Source organism: Homo sapiens, chromosome 1, assembly GCF_000001405.40.
Source record: "Homo sapiens chromosome 1, GRCh38.p14 Primary Assembly".
Lineage (NCBI taxonomy): Eukaryota > Metazoa > Chordata > Mammalia > Primates > Hominidae > Homo > Homo sapiens.
This window is the reverse complement of record NC_000001.11, coordinates 150,515,521-150,539,642: the sequence shown is the minus strand read 5'-3', so window position 1 is coordinate 150,539,642 and position 24,122 is coordinate 150,515,521. Positions and strand designations below refer to the sequence as shown.

Genomic DNA, 24,122 nt, shown 5'->3' with positions numbered 1-24,122 from the left:
CAGGTTCAAGCCATTCTCCTGCCTCGTAGTAGCTGGGATTACAGGAGCCTGCCACCACATCCAGCTAATTTTTGTAGTTTTAGTAGAGACGGGGTTTCACCATTTTGGTCAGGCTAGTCTTGAACTCCTGACCTCAAGTGATCCACCCACCTCAGCCTCCCAAAGTGTTGGGATTACAGGCATGAGCCATCATGCCTGGCCCTTTCTTTCTTTCTTCTTTCTCATTTTTTTTTTTTTTTTTGAGACAGGATCTCACTCTGTTGCCCAGGCTGGAGTGCAGTGGTGTGATCATAGCTCACTGCAGCCTCAAACTCTGGGGCTCATGCAATCCTTCTGCCTCAGCTTTCTGAGTAGCTGGGACTATAAGGTGTGCACAACCACGTCCGGCTAATTAAAAAAAATTTTTGTAGAGACGGAGTCTTACTATGTTGTGCAGGCTGGTCTTGAACTGGGCTCAAATGATCCTCTCACCTTGGCCTCCCAAAGTGTTGGGATTACAGGCATGAGCCATGCACCCAACCAGAACCTGTCCTCTTTACTGCGAATTCTGGTGGCAGATATGCCAGTAGAACTGAGTTCTGTGATGACTTCCCAGCTTGGCAGGCTCCTTGTGCTTGGGGGTTCTGGACAGAATGTGAGGTGGTTGTGAGGGCAAATGATCTGGGAAGAGGGGTGAGACCACAGAGGAAGGATAGGCGCTGCCTAGTGGTTGGGGGGCCAGGCCTGAGGACTCAAGGCATTTTGAGAAAACAGAGCATCCTATTGTTTTGTTCTGGAGTCTGGAATCACACTACTGTCCTGACCCCATGGCACTGCACCCAATTCCCAGGACAATTGTAGATGCTGAATTAAGAGCAAGAAATAGTACATTTTGTCTCAAATAAGGAAGGTGAGAGAAACCCAGTTTCCTTCCCCAAAGAGGCTCCTCCGAGAACATAAACATCCAACCATGATGGCCCCAAATTGCAATCTGTCGCCCCAGTCCAAAAGTAAATGAAGAATTTTTTTCCAGCAGAGCAGAGCCTTACAGAGAGGTGAGCTCTGGGGGTGAGAAGGGCCCTAGTCATACTTTGAGGAGGGCCTGTCTCTCTCTGTCAAGAGCAGGGCACAGGGTTGGAGGTGGGGCGGGCGGGTGCAAGACCCTGAGCGAGCTGTTTCCCTCCAGACAGGGCCTCCCCCTCCAGGGTGCTATCCCGGCCTGGGTCGGGTCAAGGATCCAACCCCAGGACTGCCTTGAGGAAGGGGCCATGAGCATTTTCCCCAAAGGAATCTTGTTCTTGTGCCTAGAAGTTTTCCTTGAATTTCCAGAGAAAGCCAATTTGGTATCAAATTAATCTTGACACATTGGGCTGAAGGCCTGAGAAAGGCAGACATAAAAGGGTAGGAACAAGGGACAAAACTGTAACTGCAGCCAGGGAGGCAGGCAGGGCGGCCAGAGGAGAGGCAGGAATTTCATACGTACCAAGGACTTGAAGTCAGAGGCAGGAGAGCCCGGGCCTGCTGGGAAGGAAATGCAAGTTGAGGCAGGAGGTGCTCACCCCTCCCACCACAGGCCCAGCTCATCTCAGTGGACAAAGGGTGGACGGGAAGGTGTGTATCTGCTTTTTGTTTTGTTTTTTTTTTTTTGAGATGGAGTCTCGCTCTGTTGCCCAGGCTGGAGTGTGGTGGCATGATCTCAGCTCACTGCAACCTCCGCCTCCTGGGTTCAAGTGATTTTCCTGCCTCAGAAAGGCCTCCCGTCCCTGCTCACAGCGCCCCCTGTCCCGTCAGCTTCAGGATCTGGCCCTGGCCCCTTGCTCAGCCGCAAAGCCTGTGCCCTCCGGCCTCCACTGCCTCTCCAGCTTCAGCCCCTCTGCCCAGGGCCACCCTCCCTCCCCTGCCCTCTGTGGAGAGACAGCTCAGTCTCACTCTGAGGAGCCTGTTGCCTCTTGGGAGGGCCCCTGCCCCACCGCTCTCCCAGCCCAAACCCTCTGGGCAGCTCTATCCTCCCCAAAGAGTCTCTCACTTTAGTGTGCCTAACAATTGCCTGGGAGGTTATGAAAATAAAGGTGCCTGGTCCCCTCCTCTGGGTGGTCCTGTTCATGAGCTCCACAGGGGTTCTTCTTTATTTTTTGGGACAGGGTGTCTGTCACCCAGGCTGGAGTGCGGTGGCATGACCTCAGCTCACTGCAGCCTGGATCTCCTGGGCTCAAGCGATCCTCCCGCCTTGGCCTCCCAAAGTGCTGGGATTACAGTTGTGAGTCACTGTGCCCAGCCTCCACAGGGGCTCTTATACACACCCAGTATGAGATCTGCCCCGTTTGTTGGAAAGTTTGCCTGTGAACCAGGTATGAGCTAATTGGGGCCCTCAAACAGAAGTATGCAGGGACCATATGTTAATTGATTTCTCAATAACAGCCTGTTTCTGTTTCCAGTGCCCATTTCCCTGGGGTAAAGGAACTTAATTGTGAATTTAGGGGATCCCCACCTTCACCTGCAGGCTCTCCAGTGCTATCGTGGCAAGATGGTGTTGGTGATGATGGTGCTTCCTCATTGGGGAAAAGCTGGGGCAAGGGCCACTGCCTCTCATTGCTCTGGCCTTGATGTAGCCAGGCTCACATCTCAGGGAGAGACGTAGGGAGGCAACACACGTCCCATGCAAGTCTGAGAACGGGTCAGCCTGTGGCAGCGCTGGAGGACCCCAGCAGAAGGAAGAGTCGTGAAGGGGTCCACGCATTTTATCTAAAGCTGAAGGCCTCTCCCCAGATCTGCTGTTCTCCAGACTCCTCACCTCCTGCTGCTGGGCCTGTTCTTCAAAATCCTAAAGTCATCTTCACTCCTTTCTACCCTGATTCTAAAGTAGTAAGGAACTTTGTTACTTGTTTATTTATTTATTGCCCAGGCTGAAGTGCAGTGGTGTGATCACAGCTCACTGCAGCCTCGACCTCCCAGGTTCAAAATATCCTCCCCACTCAGCCTCCTGAGTAGCTGGAACCACAGGTCCTGCCACCATGTCCAGCTAATATTTTTAATTTTTTGTAGAGACAAGGTTCTTCCTGTGTTCCCCAGGCTGGTCTTGAGGGAGCTCCAGTGATCCTTCTGCATCAGCCTCCCAAAGTATTGTGAAGATAGGCGTGAGCCACTGCACCTGGCCCTAGGAACTTTAGAAACCGTCTTGCCCAGTCCCTTCATTTTACAGGTGAAGAAACTGTGCCTCGGAAGAAGGGTGACTTGCCTTGGGTTTACAGACAAACACAGGGTTAGATTCCAGGTCCTCACAGGTGTCAAGTCTTGGCCTTTTAACCCAAAGACTTCCTTCTTTCTCCACATATTTATGTGTCCACCTCCATTCTATGGCCACCACCTGCCTGAGCTGTCCTTGCTCTTACATGGATGACAGTGATCAATGCAAAACTGTGACACTTTGCTCATGGCATCCCAGGAATGCCTTCTCCTTCCCATCCCTCATCTCCTGCTCATTCTTCAAGTGACTCAAATGCCACCTCTTCCAAGAAGCACATACTGGCCCGATGTGACCTCTGCCCTTCCAGCTTCATTCAGCACTTGGAATCCACACAGCTCATGCCATGGTGTTACCACAGATAGGCTGCGTCCTTATGTTATTAACTTTTCAGTACTGAGATTAGAAATTCCGAAGAGCAGGGCTTGCCTTACATATCTTGGTTTCCCCACAGGGCCTGGCATGGAGGACTGTGTGATGAAATTGCAGTCACTGATTATGTGGTGGCTGCTTCTCAGCCCCTTGCTATGTGCTCTAAGCCCCAGGTGCAGAACCAGTCATCAGGATGTGGACTTTCGTTCTCCAGTTGCTGGACCGAAGGTAGGATTCCATTCAGTGCCAGACTCTGGGGCCCTTTTGTGGATCACTCTGTTTTTGTTTACGAGCAGCTCCAGGCAGAGCGTTTACAGGCTGCCTCGGCTCCCTGGCCAACTGGCTGTGTGGAGGGGGCCATGGACCATGCCAAGCGTCAGGGTTCTGTGGAGTTTAAATGAAAAGATGCACATAAAGCCCGTAACTGAACAGTGCCTGGCCCACCATAAGTCCCACACACATATTGGCTATTTGTATTACTATTTAATTTAGAGTTAGAAGATTTGAGCCTGGGCGCGGTGGCTCACGCGTGTAATCCCAGCAATTTGGGAGGCCAAGGCTGGCAAATCGCATGAGCTCACGAGTTCGAGATCAGCCTGACCAACATGGTGAAACTCTGTCTCCACTAAAAATACAAAAATTAGCCAGGCGTGGTGGCGGGCGCCTGTAATCCCAGCTACTTGGGAGGCTGAGGCAGGAGAATTGCTTGAACCTGGGAGGCGGAGGTTGCAGTGAGCTGAGATTGCGCCACCGCACTCCAGCCTGGATAACAGAGTGAGACTCGGTCTCAAAAAGAAAAAAAAATCAAGTTAGAAGATTTGGCATAAAAATACTGTTTGTCAACACAAGTTTGGGTGACTGTGCTCTTATCCCTCAGAGGAAGCCATTTCGAAGGCCTCAGGAGGAAGCTATGCAACAGTCCCAATTGTTCTCAAGCAGAGGAGAGCAGCACTTTGGTTTACCCAAGTGCTGGCCCAGGAGGCCCTCAGCCGCTTTGCATCCTGCCAGGGACCTGTCATCACCAGTCAACTCTGTTCCCCGGCTCGTGGACCCAGATTACTGGGGATCTGAACACCAGGAGGGGCTGGCTGATTGCTGAGAACAGGTGGGTCCTGAAGGCCAGGCCAGAGCCTATTTGTGGGGAGGCAAAGTCAATTCCAGCCAAGATTCTGGAGAGAGTTAGAGAGGACATTTTTTTTTTTTTTTTTTTGAGACAGAGTCTTGCTCTGTTGCCAGGCTGGAGTGCAGTGGCATGATCTCAGCTCACTGCAACCTCCAACTCCCTGGTTCAAGCGATTCTCCTGCCTCAGCCTCCTGAGTAGCTGGGATTACAGCCACGCGCCACCACACCCAGCAAATTTTTGTATTTTTAGTACAGACGGGGTTTCACCATGTTGGCCAGGATGGTCTCGATTTCCTGACCTCATGATCCGCCCACCTTGGCCTCCCAAAGTGCTGGGATTACAGGCTTGAGCCACTGTGCCAGGCTAGAGAGCACATTTCTATCTCAGCCTCCATCTCCTGAGTGGGGGCTGGGGGGGCACAGATACCAGGCATAGTGAGGTGAACTTTGACTGAAAGCAAAATGACCAACCAAGACTTTGGGACTGAACCCTTCATAAGAACTCAGGTCTGAGCAAAGCGATCCTGTTGGGGCCAGCCAGGTGCCTCTTTCTATGAAGGTGCGGGGCTCAGAAGAGCTTGGGGCATGCTCAGAGGACGACAGCGGCTTCAGTGGCCTGGACAAAGGGCATCCCTCTCCAGGGAGTCTCTTGCAGAGCAGTGCAGCCCACACCTGCAGGGCAGCTGCAGCCTCCTTGGGCTCAGGGGAGGTGCCGCCCTCCTGCACCCCACCTCTCCAGGACCAGCTCCTCAGAGTTGAGGCATGTGAGCACAGGTTAGGGGTGGGGTGGGGCCACCTGGGTTAGGATCTGACCCTGGGTTTGTCACTGCCCCACCCTGGCCCAGAAGGCTGAGTTAAGGATGGGAAGGGCCTCCCTGCAGGTTCCTGCCATGCCGAGACTTCAGCACCTTTCTCCCCACGCCATCCTTGTCCACAGTGTTAGTCCTTTACGCCAGATTTTAAAAACAGGTAAAGCACACACAGGATCCACGACACGTCTCCTTCTTCCAGCCTCCCTCTCTCCTCCTCCAAGGCCACATCTGAACATCCTTATTAAAATACCCCATGCATATGGAAGCACAGGTGTCATTATTCACCTTTTTCTATCTTTTTTGGTCACAGAGACTCTGCTGAGAGGCTGATAAAAGCTCTGGGTTCTTAGTGCTTAGGAGTTAGAATCTGAAAAAAACAGGCTGGGCACGGTGGCTCATGCCTGTAATCCCAACACTTTGGGAAGATGAGGCTGGTGGATCACCTGAGGTCAGGAGTTTGAGACCAGCCTGGCCAACATGGCGAAACCTCATCTCTACTAAAAATACAAAAATTAGCCGGGTGTTGTGGCACACCACCTGTAGTCCCAGCTACTCAAGAGGCTAAGGTAGGAGAATCACTTGAACCTGGGAGGCGGAGGTTGCAGTGAGCAGAGATTGCACCACTGCACTCCAGCCTGGGCAACAGAGTGAGACTCCATCTCAAAAAAAAAAAAAAAAAAAAAAAGCTCTGGTTCTCTTCCTAAGATAGGTATACACAAAAAACATTTAGCATAGAGTTTCGGAGTTTCCACACTCGATGTGGCCCATCTTGCCCTACTCAGCAAGGGGTTCAGTTGTGGCTTACAGCAGTGAGGCTGATCTATACTCCATCCCCTCAAGGCCGTCCCTCAACACCCACGGGTGCCCTCTGCTGCAATCCTGACAGGAGCTTGGCAAAGCAGCTCTTCTAAGGCCCTGAAAAAACGGCTGAGGCAGGCTAGCCATTCAGTGCCTTTTTGAATAAAATGAAATCTAAACTCTTGACATGGCCAAGAAGGCCCTTCATGCCTGGCCAGGCGTGAGCCTCCTCCCTGGCCTCATCCCAACGCTATTACTGCTACTCTGGCCACACTGGCCTCTCTGTTCTTTATTGGACATGTCAATCCTGGGCCACCTCAGGGTCTTTGCCGAAGCTGTTCCCCATGCCTGGAAAAGCTCTTCCTCTCTAGTTGCACTGCTGGCTCCTGGCTGCTAGGGTGTCAGCACAGATACCTTCCTCCAAGAAGCAGCATTAGAAAGGGGCATGTGTCCCCACCCCCCAGCACCCTTTTTCTCTGTTGCACCATCTTAGTTTATTTTGCTCAGGGCACTTGCCACTTCTGAAATTACCTTTTTTTTTTTTCCTTAGTCAGTCACTGTTTGTCTTCACCGTTAGGGGGCGAGCTCCACGAAGTCAGTGGCCTTGCCTGTCATCTCCCAGAACAGGGCCTGGCGCACACACTATGCACTCAGTGAATATCTGTGGAATGAAAAAAGGATCATAGTGGAGGTGAGATAAGAATCTTGACTCAATTCTCTGTCCCACCAAGGCGGGTGCTGGCAACCCCTGGCCCCCATTCTAGGCAAAGTTCCTGCCTTTCCCTCATGTCTCTATTGCCGGCCGGCCTGCTCTTTTCCCAGATCTCTGGAGCCACTCCCTCCCAACCAGCATCTAACAAAAACTCTTTTGTGATTTTATGCCTGGGGTATTTCATCTGAGTCAATTGGCTTCTCCAGCCTTACCTCAGCTGAGTCCAAAGGTCTGATCAGTGTTTCCAGTGTAACAGCCAACTCTGTGGTCCCAGGGCTCAGAGCTCCACTCCAGGGGAACGAGGGAACTGACAGAGGACGGTCCAGCCTCTGCTCCCTGCGCTTTCGTTCCTGGGTCTTGTGGAAATAAAGGAAAACCAACTTTAAAAAAGCAAAGGCTGGCCGGGTGCGGTGGCTCATGCCTGTAATCCCAGCACTTTGGGAGGCCGAGGCAGGTGGATCAGGAGGTCAGGAGATCAAGACCATCCTGGCTAACATGGTGAAACCCTGTCTCTACTAAAAATACAAAAAAATTAGCTGGGCGTGGTGGTGGGCACCTGTAGTCCCAGCTACTCGGGAGGCTGAGAGGCAGGAGAATGGCGTGAACCCGGGAGGCGGAGCTTGCAGTGAGCCAAGATCGTGCCACTGCACTCCAGCCTGGGCGACAGAGCAAGGGTGTCAGCCATCTGCACTTGCATTTTGACGGAGCTTCGAAGGCAGGCAGAGGAGTGGGACACCTTTATAGCTGAGGAAAGTGAAGGCTTCAGGTGTGCCCTGATTGGAGGCTGTTGGTGTGGGGAAGCTGCCCGTGCATGGGCTAACTAGAAGCAGGGCATCCTGTGTGCTTGGTTAGGGGTGCATTTTTGGCTTTCCCTGGTTGGTCCTAAAGTGAGGACAAAATTAAGGAAACTGTCAGTTACTAATCAAATTCTGGCCATTTGGGGCTGATTGTTACAGACATTATTGGTTATTGTTTAGCTTCCTGGATTGTCACTAGAGATAGCAATCTGGCTTCTTGCAGGCCTGATTTAGAGCAGGAAGACCTCCCAGGTTAATTGTTGCAGATAATGAGTTAGTTTCCCCAGCAAGTGACCGCAGGCTGTGGGTGAGAGTTGTATTTTTTTTTTTCTTGAGATGGAGTTTTGCTCTTGTTGCCCAGGCTGGAGTGCAGTGGCGAGATCCCGGCTCACGGCAACCTCCGCCTCCCAGGTTCAAGCAATTCTCCTGCCTCAGCCTCCAGAGTAGCTGGGATTACAGGCTAATTTTATATTTTTAGTAGAGACGGGATTTCTCCATGTTGGTCAGGCTGGTCTCTAACTCCCGACCTCGGATGATCCGCCCACCTCGGCCTCCCAAAGTGCTGGGATTACAGGCATGAGCCACTGTGCCCAGCCTAGAGTTGTATTTTAATATATGGTCTGGCCATTGTTCATTTGTATAATCAGTTTCTTAGTGTACAGATCAGTCATTTGGGGATTCTTTCTCCCTTCCCTTAGATGTGTGAATGCCTTGGAATAGTGGAATCATTGAGTATTTCATTTCCTTTGTTCAAGAGCTCTCTACCAAAGGTATTCTCTGTGCAAAGATGGTGACAGATGTGGTAAAAAGAACAGGATGGGGCCAGGCCTGTCCCCAGAGGCTGCAGTGCAGTTAGGGAACTGAGGTGTGTTGTTCCTGAGAACTGCATATGCCACATGACTGGCTCAGAACAGGGGCTTCTGATGAGAGGAATTAGGAAGGCGTTATGGACAGTGTGGTTTCTGGAGTTCCGCTTTGAACCAAAAGCTGGATATCTATAGATGGAAATTGGGAAGGGAAGGGCGAGGGCACTCTTGGAAGGGAATACTCTGAGGAAGGGCGCGGGTGTTGCGGGCCTCCGTTTGGTCACTCGCTCTCTTCTGTGCTCAGTGCTTCGGCCCGTAGAGCCACTGGACACTGGAGACAGTGTGAAGGTGCCTGCTGGGTTGTGACGGCTTCAGTGCGGGGCAAGGCCTGGTGGGAAGAGCCTTTCTTATCAAGATGAGGAGCCTGAATTTGGGCCCTGGGCAGTAAAAATCGCAATAATAACCAGCACTTAGTGAGCACCGGCCTCAGAGAGTCCCTGCAAACCATGAGGCAGTTACTGTTATCATCTCCATTTTACAGATAAGGAAACTGAGGCAGTGATTAAGGAACCTGCATGGGACCACACAGTATCAGAGGGGAGAGAATGATCAGATGTTGTGCTTAGCAAAAAAATTGTCTGTAACTGTGCTCCCCCAGCTGCTGCCTCCCGATTCAAAGTCTTTGTTCTTAAATGTGCGTCCTATTAGTAAGTACCCAGCCGTTACTAAGTACCCAGCATGGCCTCAGCATTTGCATGTATTATCTAACTTAATCTTCACAGCCCTCTGAAATAAGGAACTGGGATTATCATTCCCATTTTACAGAAGAGAAAACTGAGGAGCTAAGTAGCTTCCCTGAGGTGGTGCAGTCCAGGCCCCTGCACATCTACCTCTGTGCCACACTGCCCCTTGTCAATAGGCAGGGATGTAACTGCCCATCAGTCAGGCCCTGATCCACAGCAGTGGATCCAAGAGCTGACCCAAGTTAGGGGCTCTTGTCTTTCTGGATCACCCTTTAAAGAATTTGATGTAAGCTACAGATACTCGCCCCAGAAAAATGCACACACACAGACACACCGCATTTTGCATACTTTAAGAAATTCACAGGCTGGGCGCGGTGGCTCACCCCTGTAATCCCAGCACTTTGGGAGGCTGAGGTGGGCGGATCATGAGGTCAGGAGATCGAGACCATCCTGGCCAACATGGGAAAACCCCGTCTCTACTAAAAATACAAAAAATTAGCCGGGCGTGGTGGCAGGCGCCTGTAGTCCCAGCTACTCGGGAGACTGAGGCAGGAGAATGGCGTGAACCCGGGAGGCGGAGCTTGCAGTGAGCCGAGATGGCGCCACTGCACTCCAGCCTGGGTGACAGAGCGAGACTCCACCTCAAAAAAAAAAAAAAATCACAGATCCCCACAAATCTTTCCATGGGCCCTGCTAGGCAAGCAGGCCATAGGGGAAGACGTTTGGGGTAAATGCTTCAGCCTTTTTGGCTCCAGTCTAGGGCCAAAGGGCAAGCCTTTGAGTTCTACAAGGTTTCATTTTGGGGACAAGGAAAACAAAATTCCACATCTATTTTCATTTACTTCATCTGAGAAAGGAACAAAAGGCAGCAGCCTGCCCACCAAGCCCCCATTTTGGGGCTGACCTAATTACCCAGCTTCTCTCCCACACTCAGATGGCTGAACGCTGCTGGAGGAAATCTTCTAATTCTGCTGGTTTCTGCCAATGCACACGTATGGTTTCTAATCCCAGCTGGGCCTTTAACACTACTTGGCAGCTCTTACTGTACCAGATAAACACTCACACCCCGTTCCCACAATGGTCATTCCAACCCTTCTTTAATGATTCATTAAGCTTTAAAGTTTCCATGTGATAGCAGAAGCCCAGCTGCACATATTTCAATTCACACCTTTCACGGATTTATCCTGCTTCTCCCTCCACCTGTGCTCTAGATCCTTTGATTTTTTTTTTTTTTTTTTTTTTTGCTATTTATTTAGTGGCTCCTGTGCCTGTCATTGGGCTAGGCTCTGGGATGCCTGTCATAGTCTCTGCTCTGGTGGAGCAAATAGCCCTGAGACAAAGACCATCATTCAATAAATATTAATAATTACAAGTGCCAGGCGCAGTGGCTCACGCCTGTAATCCCAGCACTTTGGGAGGCCGAAGCAGACGGATCAAGAGGTCAGGAGATTGAGACCATCCTGGCTAACATGGTGAAATCCCATCTGTACTAAAAATACGAAAGAAAATTAGCTGGGCGTGGTGGTGGGCACCTGTAGTCCCAGTTACTACTCGGGAGGCTGAGGCAGGAGAATGGCGTGAACCTGGGAGGCGGAGCTTGCAGTGAACCGAGATTGCACCACTGCACTCCAGCCTGGGCGACAGAGTGAGACTCCATCTCAAAAAAAAAAAAAAAATTAATAGTAATAATAATTACAAGTGTGATGAGGACCACTCAGGGACAGTGGGGAGTGTTACAGAATGTGTTGATCTGGGGGTTTCAGGAAGGTCTCCCTGAGGAATGACATTTAAAGCTGAGACTTCAGGGATGACATGTCGGCTAGGAATGCTTTGGCCTACACATAACAGAAAACCTGACTAACAGCAAAACCATAAGGATGTTGACTGTTTCCTCAAGAAGCCCAGAAGCAAAAAGTTCCAAAGTTTTTAAGAGGCTTCACAATATCAAGAAGCAGGAGTTGACATCTTTGCAATTTTCTTCACTTCTCTCTCAGTTATAAGATGTTGCCACAGAATCAACTGTGCCTTCCTTATATAACATCATCCCAATGCAAAAAAAAAGAGAAAGGGCTCTGGTTCCTCAACAGCTCTCTTTTATAAGGGCACAAAAATTCATCCACAAGTTCCCTGGAGTCTTCCTCTTGTGTCTTTTTGGTGAAACCTGGGTCATATGCCCACCCCGGATAGGCGAAGAGGAAGAGGGTTACCATGATTGACTTAGACCAATCATGATTTCTTCCATAATACAGCGAGGACCCCACCTTCCCTGAAAATATTTGCTGCCTATTGGATGCCTCACTTGAGGGTCAATGGGACCACCAATTCTGCATATATATGACTAGATAATTCAAGCAAGTCCTCCTACCAATGAAAACTTTTATTTATTTATTTATTTACTTATACATTTTTTGAGATGGAGCCTTGCTACGTCGCCCAGGTTGGAGTGGAGTGGTGCGATCTTGGCTCACTGAAACCTCCGCCTCTCGGGTTCAAGCGATTCTCCTGCCTCAGCCTCCCGAGTAGCTGGAATCACAGGTGCCCACCACCACGCCCAGCTAACTTTTGTATTTTTAGTAGAGGTGGGGTTTCGCCATATTGGCCCCATGTTGGCCAGGTGGGTCTCAAATTCCAGGTTCCAGACCAGCCACCATGCCCAGCCTCTGGTGCTTTTAAAATGAGTTTTTCAAGCTTTTAAGTTTTTGGCCAGGCACAGTGGCCCACACCTGTAATCCCATCACTTTGGGAGGCTGAGGCGGGCAGATCACCTGAGGTCAGGAGCTTAAGACCAGCCTGGCTAACAGGGTGAAATCTCATCTCTACTAAAAATACACAAATTAGCCAGGCGTGGTGGTGGGCACCTGTAATCCCAGCTACTCGGGAGGCTGAGGCAGGAGACTCGCTTGAACCCGGGAGGCAGAGGTTGCAGTTAGTCAAGATCATACCACTGCACTCCAGCCTGGGCAACAGATCAAGACTCCATCTCAAAAATAAATAAGTAAATAAATAAAAAATAAAAATAGGCCAGGCGTGGTGGCTCACATCTGAAATCCCAGCACATTGGGAGGCTGAGCCAGGCTGATCACCTGAGGTCAGGAGTTCGAGACCAGCCTGACCAATATGGTGAAACCCCGTCTCTACTAAAAATAAAAAAAATTAGCTGGGTGTGGTGGTGGGTGCCTGTAGTCCCAACTTCTCGGGAGGGAGGCTGAGACAGGAGAATTGCTTGAACCCGGGAGGCGGAGGTTGCAGTAAGCCGAGATCGCACCACTGCAATCCAGCCTGGGTGACAGAGCAAGACTCTGTCTCAATAAATAAATAAATATATAGGCCAGGCGTGGTGGCTCACACCTGTAATCTCAGCACTTTGGGAGGCCGAGGCTGGTGGATCACGAGGTCAGGAGATCGAGACCATCCTGGCTAACATGGTGAAACCCCATCTCTACTAAAAATACAAAAAAATTAGCCGGGCGTGGTGGTGGGCGCCTGTAGTCCCAACTACTTGGGAGGCTGAGGCAGGAGAATGGCATGAACCCAGGAGGTGGAGCATGCAGTGAGCCGGGATTGCGCCACTGCACTCCAACCTGGGCGACAGAGTGAGACTCCGCCTCAAAAAAATAAAAATAAATATATAAAAATAGAAATAAAAATACAAAAATTAGCTGAGCATGGTGGCATGTGCCTGTAGTCCCTGCTACTCGGGAGGCTGAGGCAGGAGAATCAAAAAAAACAACATTAGGTTCAATAGATAACAGCGACATACTCGCCGTGTGCAGTAGCTCAAGCATGTACTCCCAGCAACTTGGAAAGATGAGGTGGGTGGATCACTTGAGCCCAGGAGTTTGAGACCAGCCTGGGCGACATAGCGAGACCCTGTCTCTACAAAAGAAAACTTTTTTTTTTTTTTTTTTTTGAGACGGAGTTTCACTCTGTCACCCAGGCTGGAGTGCAGTGGCATGATCTCGGTTCACTGCAAGCTCCGCCTCCCGAGTTCACACCATTCTCCTGCCTTGGCCTCCTGAGTAGCTGGGACTACAGGTGCCCGCTACCGCGCCCAGCTGATTTTTTATATTTTTAGTAGAGACGGGGTTTCACCGTGGTCTTGATCTCCTGACCTCGTGATCCGCCCGCCTCAGCCTCCCAAAGTGCTGGGATTACAGGCGTGAGCCACTGCACCTGCCCAAAAAAAAACTTTTTAAAAAAGGAATGAAGTACTGATGCATGCTGAACATGAATGAACCTTGAAAATATTATGCTGAGTGAAAGAAACCAAACAAAAAAGACCACATATGGAATAAATCTATTTACATAAAACGTACATGGCTGGGCATGGTTGCTGACACCTGTAATCTCAGCACTTTGGGAGGCCGAAATGGGAGAATTGCTTGAAGCCAGGAGTTGACACCAGCCTGGGCAATACAGCAAGACCTCTGTCTCTACAAAATTAGCCAGGTATGGTGGTGTGTGCCTGTAGTTCCAGTTACTCGGGAGCCTGAGGCAGGAGGATCACTTGAGCCCAGCAATCTGAGGTTGTAAAATCAACTCTAGGTGGTTACTAGCCTTAAATAAGCTAGGCAAAATGAGCTGTAACTGTACCACTGCATTCGTGTCTGGGTGACAGAGGAAAACACCATCTTTATGAAAACAAAAAAATAAAACATAGAACGGTGGGACCAACCAAAACCAACAGATTTAAGTTTTAAGTGTAAATGGACAAAATATTTCATTTAAAAGGCAGTGGTTGCAGACTGGATTTTTTTTTTCCAGTTGAACTGTATGCTTTTTGTTTGTTTGTTTGTTTGTTTTTTAAGACATGGTCTCACTCTGGGACCCAGGCTGGTGCAATCATGGCTGACTGCAGCCTTGATCTACCAGGTTCAAGCGATCCTCCCACCTCAGCCTCCAGAGTAGCTGGGACCACAGGTGCATGGCACCACACCTGGCTAATGTTTTGGGTTTTTTTGTTTTTTGTTTTTGAGACGGACACTTGCTCTGTCGCCCAGACTGGAGTGCAATGGTGCCATCTCAGCTCACTGCAAGCTCCGCCTACTGGGTTCAAGCGATTCTCCTGCCTCAGCCTCCTGAGTAGCTGGGATTACAGATGCGTGCCACCATGCCTGGCTAATTTTTAGCAGAGATGGGGTTTCACCATGTTGTTCAGGCTGGTCTCGAACTCCTGACCTCGTGATCCGCCTGCCTCGGCCTCCCACAGTGCTGGAATTACAGGCGTGAGCCACTGCACCAGGCCTTTTTTTTTTTTTTTTTTTCAAGACAGGGTTTCACTCTGTTGTTCAGGCTGGAGTGCAGTGGTGTGATCATGGCTCACTGTACCCTCAAACTCCTGGGCTCAAGAGATCCCCTCAGTTCAGTCTCCTGAGTAGCTGGGACTACAGGCAAGTACCACCACACCACTCTAATTTATTTTTATTTTTTGTAGAGACAGAATCTTGTAAACTCCTGGCCTCAAGTGATCCTCCTGCCTGGGCCTCCCAAAGAGCTGGGATTACAGGCATGCGTACCTGGTTGCTTTTTTTCATTATAGCCATTTTAGTGGGTGCAAAATGGTACCTTCTTGTGGTTCTAATTTGCATGTCTCTAATCACTAAAGATGTTGAGCATTTTTTCATTGCTTATTAGCAGTCTGTATATCTTCTTAGATGAAATGTCTATTCAAATCTTTTGTCCATCTTTTGATTGACTTGTCTTATTATTGAGGTATGAGTTCTGGATATTCTTTTCTGCATATACACCCATGTTGTTTTTCAGTAGAATTATGTCTTAAACTCAACTATACTCTGGTTTTGGATTTCACTGTCAAGATGATGTGACTTTTTTTGACATCTTTGTAGAGGTAGTCTAGTTATTCTTAATAACTTATGATGCTGTGGAAGCCTGAGATTTTTTTGAGTCTCTGGTGTATATAATATTTAAATTTAAAGAAATTTGGCCAGGCACAGCTGTGCACCACACCTGTAATCCGAGTGCTTTGGTTGGCTAAGGTGAGAGTGTCTCTTGAAGCCATGAGTTCAAGGCTGCAGTGAGCTCTAATCGCACCACTGCATTCCAGCCTAGGTGGCAAAGTGAGATACCACCTCTAAAAAAAATTAAAAATAAAAAAATTAAAAAACAAATCTAGCAGCGTAAAACAACAGTCATTTATTCTCTTATAGTTCCAGAGGCCAAATGTCCAAAATGAGTCTTATGGGGCTAAAGTCAAAGTGTCATCAGGACTGGTTCCTTCCGGAGGCTCTGGGGGAGAAAGATTCTTTTGCTTGTTTCTTCCTGTTAATGGTGGCTGCCCACATCAATCACCTTGATCTCTGCTTCCACAGTCAAATTCCTTCTCTTCTGTTGTCAAATCGCATTCTGCCTACTTTGTGATGCCATTTAGAGTCTGCGCAGATAATTCTGGATAAGCTCCCATCTCAAGATCCATACCCTTGGCTGTATCTGCAAAGTTCCTTCTGCCTTGTAAAATAAAATTCACGGTTTCCAGGGAGTAGGACCTGGAAATCTTTGGGGCCATTATTCAGCCCACTACACTGTCCAGCAGAAATATAATTCCAGTCACCAATGTAAGCCACACATGTAATTTTTTTTTTTTTTTTTTTGACGGAGTCTCGCTCTGTTACCCAGGCTGGAGTGCAGTGGCATGATCTTGGCTCACTACAACCTCTGCCTCCCGGGTTCACGCCATTCTCCTGCCTCAGCCTCCCGAGTAGCTGGGACTACAGGCATGCACACCATGCATGGCTAATTTTTGTATTTTTAGTAGAGACAGGGTTTCACCATGTTGGTCAGGCTGGTCTCGAACTCCTGACCTCAGGTGATCTTCCTGCCTTTGGCCTCCCAAAGTGCTAGGATTACAGGCATGAGCCACCGCGCCTGGTCGCCACATATGTAATTTAAAAAAATTTTAGTAACATTAAAAAAGTAAAATGAGACAGATGAAATTAATTTTAATAATATATGCCAGGCGCAGTGGCTCACACCTGTAATCCCAGCACTTTGGGAGGCTGCGGTGGGCGGATCACTTGAGGTCAGGAGTTTGAGACCAGCCTGGTCAACAATGCAAAACCCCATCTCTACTAACAATATAAAAATTAAGTTAGCCGGGCATGGTGGTGCATGCCTGTAGTCCCAGCTACTCAGGAGGCTGAGGCAGGAGAATCGCTTGAACCTGGGAGGCAGAGGTTGCAGTGAGCCAAAATCATGCCACTGCACTCCATCCAGCCTGGGTGACAGAGCAAGACTCTGTCTCAAAAAAAAAAAAAAAAAATATATATATATATATATATATATATATATATATACACACACACACACACATATATATGTATATATATATGTATATATATGTATATATATATATACGTATATATATATGTATATATACGTATATATATATATAGAGAGAGAGAGAGAGAGAGTTCATTAATCCAGTATACCTCCAAGTTTTCATGTAAACAACAGGAAAAATATTGATATCTTGCATCCTTTATTGTAGAAATCCATTGTGTATTTTACACTTACAGTACACTGCAATTCAGACCAATCACATTTCAAGTGCTCAGTAGTCACAAGTGGCTGGTGGCTACTGTGTTGGACAGTGCTGCCAACTTCTTGTTTTTTTTTTTTTTTTGACAGAGTCTCACTTTGCTGCCCAGGCTGGAGTGCAGTGGCGCCATCTTGGCTCATGGCAACCACCCCCTCCTGGGTTCAAGCGATTCTCCTGCCTCAGCCTCCTGAGTAGCTGGGACTACAGGCATGCACCGCTATGCCCAGCTACTTTTTGTATTTTTAGTAGAGACAGGGTTTCACCACGTTGCCCAGGCTGGTCTTGAACTCCTGACCTTGGGCGATCCTCCTGCCTTGGCCTCCCAAAGTGCTGGGATTACAGGCGTGAGCCACCACTCCCGGCCAACCACTACCAACTTCTAAGCTGGAAAGTCACTGGAATGACTGTTCAGAAAAGGATTACAACATGGCTTTTCTTTCTTTCTTTTTTTTTTTTTTTTGAGACAGTCTCACTCTGTCACCTAGGCTGGAGTGCAGTGGCGTAATCTCGGCTCACTGCAACCTCCATCTCCTGGGTGCACGCGATTCTCCTGCTTCCACCTCCAGAGTAGCTGGGATTACAGGCACAGGCCACCACACCCAGCTAATTTTTTTGTATTTTTAGTAGAGACGGGGTTTCACCATGTTGGCCAGGCTGATCTCGAACTCCTGCCCTCAGGTGATCTGCCCACCTTGGACTCCCAAAGTGCTGGGATTACGGGAGTGGGCCACCACACCTGGGTGGCTTTTCCATTTTTAAGACTTACTTAAAGAATCTGTATATACTGTTCCTACAATTTGTGTCCAGTCATTAAACAATAGCCAAGACTTTCCTGAAGAACAAATTGGGAGGGAGTGCTTGGCCTATAAATATCAAACTTTAATATAAAGCTACCAACTGTGCAGTATTGTGCAAGGAGGAACAGATAGTAGAATGGAAGGTCCATAAATAGACCCATGCAAATATGGACACTTGATTTATGACAAACATGGCCTGCAGAGGGGTCATAACAGTCTTTTCAACACATGGTGCTGGAATAACTGAATCTCCAAACGGAATAATATGAATCATGACCCTCTACCTCCCAGTAAATGTCAAAATCAACTCCAGGTGGTTACCAATCTTAAATGAGCAAATAAAACAATAACACTTTCAGAAGATAGGCAAGGGACTTGAGCAGGCATCTCACAGAAGATATCCAAATGATCAATTGACATATCACAAGGTGTTTAACCTCATTTATAAACACAGAAATGCAAGTTAAACCCATACTGAGGTACCATTGCACCACAAACTCACCAGAATGGCTAACCACATTGACAACCTCAAGAATTGGAGAGGGTGTAGAACAAGTGGAACTCTCATACACTGCCTGTGGGAAGAAAAATTAGTACAACCACTTTGGCATTCTCTAGTTAAGCCAAATAAACTCTGACCCAGCCATTTAACTCCTAGCTGTATACCTGACAGAAATTCATGCAATATCTACCATTTTTATAATAGCATATTTGAAATAGCTTAAAACTGGAAACAATTCATGTATCTATCAACAGTAGAATGGATAAATTGGCATATTTCTGAAATAGAATTCCATATGAAAATGAGGCCGGGCGTGGTGGCTCACGCCTGTAATCCCAGCACTTTGAGAGGCTGAGACAGGCAGATCACCTGAGGTCGGGAGTTCGAGACCAGCTTGACCAACACGGAGAAACCCTGTCTCTGCTAAAAATACAGAATTAGCCAGGCGTATTGGCAGGCGCCTGTAATCCCAACTACATGGGAGGCTGAAGCAGGAGAATCCCAGGAGGCGGAGGTTGCAGTGAGCTGAGATCGCGCTGAGCCAAGATTGCACCACTGCACTCTAGCCTGGGCAACAAGAGCAAAACCCTGTCTCAAAAAAAAAAAAAAAAAAAAAAAAAAAGAAAAGAAAAGAAAAGAAAATGAATGAACTACAGGTATATAAAATAACATGAATGCATATTTAAAAAGTCAGACATGCACAAAAAATATGTTGTAATTATTCTGATTCCATTCTTATGAAGTTCAAAAATTGGCAAAATGAAATAATTGTGCATTATTCACAATAGTTGAAAGATGAAAACGACCCAAATGTCCATCAACAGATGAATGGATAAGCAAAATGTGGCATATACACACATTGTATGTATACACATACAATGGAATATGATTCAGCCATAAAAGGGAATGAAGTTCTGATACATGCTGTAACATGGATGAGCCTTGAAAACATTATGCTAAGTGAAATAAGCCAGATGCAAAAGGACAAATATTATAGGCACATTATATGAGGTACCCAGAATAGGCAAATTCATAAAGACAGTATATTAGGAGTTATCAGGGGCTAAAGGGAGGGGGGATGCCAGTTATTGCTTAATGGTTACAGAGCTTCTGTTTGGGGTGATGGAAAAGTTTTGGAATAGATAGTGGTGACGGTTGTACAATATTGTGAATATAATTAATGCCACTGAGTTGTACACTTAAAAATGGTTAAAATGGCAAATTTTGTCATACATTTGTTTATTTATTTATTTTTGAGACGGAGTTTCACTTTTTGTTGCCCAGGCTGGAATGCAATGGTGTGATCTTGGCTCATGACAACCTCCACCTCCCGGATTCAAGTGATTCTCCTGCCTCAGCCTCCTGAATAGCTGGGAATACAGGCATGCACCACCACACCCGGCTAATTTTGTATTTTTAGTAGAGATGAGGTTTCTCCATGGTCAGGCTGGTCTCGAACTCCCGACCTCAGGTGATCCGTCTGCCTCGGCCTCCCAAAGTGCTGGGATTACAGGCATGAGCCACTGCGCCAGCCTATTTTATTATTATTTTTTGAGACAGAGTTTCGCTCTTGTTGCCCAGGCACAATCTCGGCTCACTCCAACTTCTGCCTCCCAGGTTCAAGCGATTCTCCTGATTCTCCTGCCTCAGCCTCCCGAGTAGCTGGGATTACAGGCGCCCACCACCATGCCCGGCTAATTTTTTTGTATTTTCAGTAGAGACGGGGTTTCACCATCTTGGCCAGGCTGGTCTCGAACTCCTGACCTTATGATCCATCCACCTCAGCCTCCCAAAGTGCTGGGATTACAGGCGTGAGCCACCGTGCCTGGCCCTAATTTTGTATTTTTAGTAGAGATGGGGTTTCTCCATGTTGGTCAGGCTGGTCTCAAACGCCCCACCTCAGGTGATCTGCCCACCTCGGTCTCCCAAAGTGTTGGGATTACAGGCATGAGCCACCGCCCTTACATTTATTTTACCATACTTTTTAAAAATTAATAATGTAATATACCAAAACCCATTGAATTGTACATTTTACATGGGTGAATTAATGGTATGCGAATTATATCCAATAAAGCTGTTTACAAAATCCAAAATGACTGCTTTTAGGGTTCATTTTTAGGGGTAAACTAGTTTTAACAAGCGATTGAGTGATAACTCTAAATATCAAGGGAGCAGGATTCCTTCATGGGCACGGGAGGAGGGCGTCATCAGGAAGCAGCACTGTGGGGGCCTCTGGGATGCTTTGGCTTGACTTAGGCATTTGTTGCAGGAGGTTCATTTTATAACCATCCATTGAGCTATAATACATTTATGTTTTGCATACTTTTATTATTAATTTGTTTGTTTGTTGAGACAGAGTTTCACTCTTGTCGCCCAGGCTGGAGTGCAATGGCATGATCTCAGCTCACTGCAACCTCTGCCTCCTGGGTTCAAGTGATTCTCCTGCCTCAGCCTCCCAAATAGCTGGGACTACAGAGGCACGCCACCACACCCAGCTAATTTTGTATTTTTGGTAGAGACGTGGTTTCACCATGTTGGCCAGGCTGGTCTCAAACTCCTGACCTCAGGTGATCCGCCCAACTCGGCCTCCCAAAGTGCCCGGATTACAGGCGTGAGCCACAGCGCCCGGCCAGGGATTTTCAAAGGTTATGTTAACTATGTAATTTTGGCCTTATGTACTGACTTATAACCTAACTTTGGTGTAAGGTGTAACTCTATTGCTGGGCACGGTGGCTCACGCTTATAATCCCAGCACTTTGGGAGGCTGAGGCAGGCGGATCACCTGAGGTCAGGAGTTCGGGACTAGCCTGAACGACATGGAGAAACCCCATGTCTCTACTAAAAAAATGCAAAATGAACCGGGCGTGGTAGTGCATGACTGTAATTGCAGCTACTTGGGAGACTGAGGCAGGAGAATCACTTGAACCCAGGGGGCACAGGTTGCGGTGAGCCGAGATCACGCCATTGCACTCCAGCCTGGGCAACAAGAGTGAAACTCCATCTTAAAAAAAAAAAAAAAGAGAGAGACTTGGCGACTGATTAGACTACAAGGAAAAAGGAGAGAAACTGAAGAATGATATTCCCAGGCCTAACAACTCTGATATTCTCTGGCCTAAACAACTGACTAAACAGTTGTTCTATTTATTGAAATAGGGCACATGGGAAGAAGAATAGTTGGAGGGTAAAGAGGATGGGCCCACTACTTTTTTCTTAATATTTTATCATGAAAAATTTCAAAAATACAGAAAAACTGACAGATTGTACAGTAAACAACCATATACCTACCACCTAACTTATTGCTATATTTTCTTCTTCACATCTTTCCATATACCTAGAAGAATTCATTTTTGAAGCTGAATTTGTGATATCTAGGAGACATCCAAGTGTCCTGTGTAATAGGCTGCTAGTGTAGAGTGCAGAAATACATTAAGAGCAGGCTACAAGTGCTGCCTCCTTTTCTTCATCTCCCATTCATACTCAACTCTCCAGAATTTGACTTTTGACACCTTCCGTTTGAAGTTGCTACCACTGAGGACACCGACTACTGAGAAGTCCAAAATTGAACTCATGTCTTCCCTCTGTGAAACCTGCTCCTCTTCCTCCTGTATGTTCTGCTGCCTTAGTCAGTATGAGCTGTGAAGTACCATAGACAGGGTGGGTTAAACAGCAGAAATGTATTTCTCACAGTTCTGGAGGCTAGAAGTCCTAGATCATGTGCCAGCATGGTCAGGCTCAGGTGAGGGCCCTCTGCCAGGTTGCAGCCTGCCAACTTCTTGTATCTCACAGGGCAGGAAGAGCTAGAGAACTCTCTGGGGTCCCTTTTATAAGAGCACTAATCCCATTTATGAGGGCTCCACCCTCATGACCTAATTACCTCCCAAAGGCCCCACCTCCTAATACCATCACACTGGGGGCTAGGATTTCAACAAATGCATTTGGGGGTACACAAACATTCAGTCTGTAACACTTACCTTAGTTACCACAGCCTCAAACTTGGTAGTCACCCTAGACACCAGCAAACAGGTTCTCTCAACCCTATCTCCTGAAGAGCTTTTAAAAAAAGTCCCCTCCCTCACCATGCCCTCAACCTTTTTTTTTTTTTTTTTTTTGAGACGGAGTCTGGCTCTGTCACCCAGGCTGGAGTGCAATGGCACAATCTTGGCTCACTACAACCTCTGCCTCCTGGGTTCAAGCAATTCTTCTGCCTCAGCCTCCCAAGTAGCTGGGATTAGAGGCATGCGCCATCATGCCTGGCTAATTTTGTATTTTTAGTAGGGACGGCTTTCACCATGTTGGTCAGGCTGGTCTCGAACTCCTGACCTCGGTTGATCCACTGGCCTCGACCTCCCAAAGTGCTGGGATTACAGGTGTGAGCCACCGCGCCTGGCTAGGTATATTTAAATATACCACACTTTCTGTGTTATTTCCTCTTCCTGGAAGATCTCCCTGAAGGCCAGGCTAGGTGGCTGTCTCAGAATTCTGAGAATATTTCTAACATTAGATGTTCAAGTCTCCACAGACGCTAAAGTCCCTGAAGGTGGTGTTGTAGTCTTCGTTATAGCCAGAGTACTTTTAGCACTCTGCCTAACACAAAAAGGACTGTTTACTTTAGCTGAACTTTGCATACATTCAATGCTTTGTATATCCTTCCCTTTCAACAAAACCCTACTCAAGCTTGAATTCTGTGAAGCTTTCCCTGGCCTCTCCAATAATTAGGAGCTCTGACTCCTTTACTTTACTCACCGCCCCTGAATTGAGCAAGTTATATTTTAATAGTGTATACAACGAATTGCAGTGAATGTTAACACGTTCACCTTTTATTGCTAACAGCAATGCTACCCGTGCTTCCAGGCTCTATCCAAACTCACTGCTTCCAGATAATAGCTGGCTGGTCCCTAGGGAGAATTCTTTAACTCTCAGCATTTGATGCTCAATTCAGTACCTCCTCATATTCAGCACTGTAGCTTACAAGTGCTCTCCGGGTTCCCTTCCTCTCCTCCCCGACAGACTAAACTGCTAGGGTTTGGGACCGCAGTCCTCCTCTCCTCTGACTCCCACCTCTCTGCAGCATTTGGCGCTGCACTTTGCAAACGCAGCTCTAAAGCATCTCCGGGAAGCTCCTGCACAGACCAAAGCCCCCCCGCTCCCTTTTTTTTTTTGAGACAGAGTCTCCTCTCTCGCCCAGGCTGGAGTGCGGTGGCGCGATCTTACTGCAGCCTCCGCCTCCCGGGTTCAAGCAATTCTCTGCCTCAGCCTCCCGAGTAGCTGGGATTATAGGCGCCCGCCACCACGCCCTGCTAATTTTTTTTTTTTTTTGTATTTTTAGTACAGACGGGGTTTCACCTTCTTGGCCAGGCTGGTCTTGAACTCCTGACCTCGTGATCCACCGCCTCGGCCTCCCAAAGTGCTGGGATTCCAGGCATGAGCCACCGCGCCCGGCCCAAAGCCCTTTAAAGACAAGTCTCCGCTTGCGGATTCGCCCGCCAGGTGACAAGGCTTCGTGGGCCAGGACTCCGCCCGCTCCCCGTGGGCTGGGGCGACCCAGGCCAGGAGGGTACACGTGGGACCGGGGGGTAGGGGAATTGCTGGGCCGGCCTTTTCCCCCTGCCTCCCCCGGTTCCTCTGTCCTGGAGGCCGTAGGAGATGCGCAGGACGCCCGCACATGCGCAGTGTCACTCTCGAGCTCCAGACTCGAGCGCGGCGGGCAGGAGGCCCAGGCGGCCCCGGGCTCCCGAGACTGGGCTGCCGGCTCAGGGGCGGGGCACAGCGCTGCCCTCGCCCGCTCATTGGCTCGCGTGCTGACGGACAGGTGGGGCGGACAGCCGGCGAAAGATCTGAGGAGCCGCTGGACTGGAAACTGCTACTGGGCTAAAAATACTTAAGTA

General features: G+C 48.2%; 1 long non-coding RNA gene across 4 annotated transcripts, besides 3 other annotated features; it reads right to left on the bottom strand.

The window, feature by feature from the left end:
• Nucleotides 1-2,854: 2,854 nt before the first annotated feature.
• On the bottom strand, nt 2,855-23,891 carry FALEC (focally amplified lncRNA regulator of ECM1). 4 transcript variants are annotated; one of them, NR_186305.1, is made up of 6 exons: nt 23,581-23,891; nt 21,523-21,870; nt 18,238-18,310; nt 7,250-7,393; nt 6,857-6,986; nt 2,855-3,976 (listed from the first exon to the last, which is right to left on the bottom strand). It is a non-coding gene; the product is annotated as a focally amplified lncRNA regulator of ECM1 (long non-coding RNA). The 4 variants fall into 4 exon arrangements; NR_186306.1 differs by lacking the exon at nt 21,523-21,870; NR_186307.1 differs by lacking the exons at nt 18,238-18,310; nt 21,523-21,870.
• Nucleotides 3,108-4,307: an enhancer, noted in NCBI's record as "CDK7 strongly-dependent group 2 enhancer chr1:150507812-150509011 (GRCh37/hg19 assembly coordinates)". NCBI's record gives its function as "activates an origin of replication core promoter dependent on BRD2, BRD4, P300/CBP, MED14 and CDK7 cofactors, with strong dependence on CDK7, by STARR-seq in HCT116 cells {active_cell/tissue: HCT116}" and the evidence as "EXISTENCE:reporter gene assay evidence [ECO:0000049][PMID:35650434]".
• Nucleotides 5,923-6,913: an enhancer, noted in NCBI's record as "H3K27ac-H3K4me1 hESC enhancer chr1:150505206-150506196 (GRCh37/hg19 assembly coordinates)". NCBI's record gives its function as "activates a minimal SCP1, AML or CMV promoter by ChIP-STARR-seq in naive and primed H9 embryonic stem cells {active_cell/tissue: H9 hESC(naive and primed)}" and the evidence as "EXISTENCE:reporter gene assay evidence [ECO:0000049][PMID:30033119]".
• Nucleotides 23,697-24,066: a silencer, noted in NCBI's record as "silent region_1300". NCBI's record gives its function as "represses an Ori minimal core promoter by ATAC-STARR-seq in GM12878 lymphoblastoid cells {active_cell/tissue: GM12878}" and the evidence as "EXISTENCE:reporter gene assay evidence [ECO:0000049][PMID:35858748]".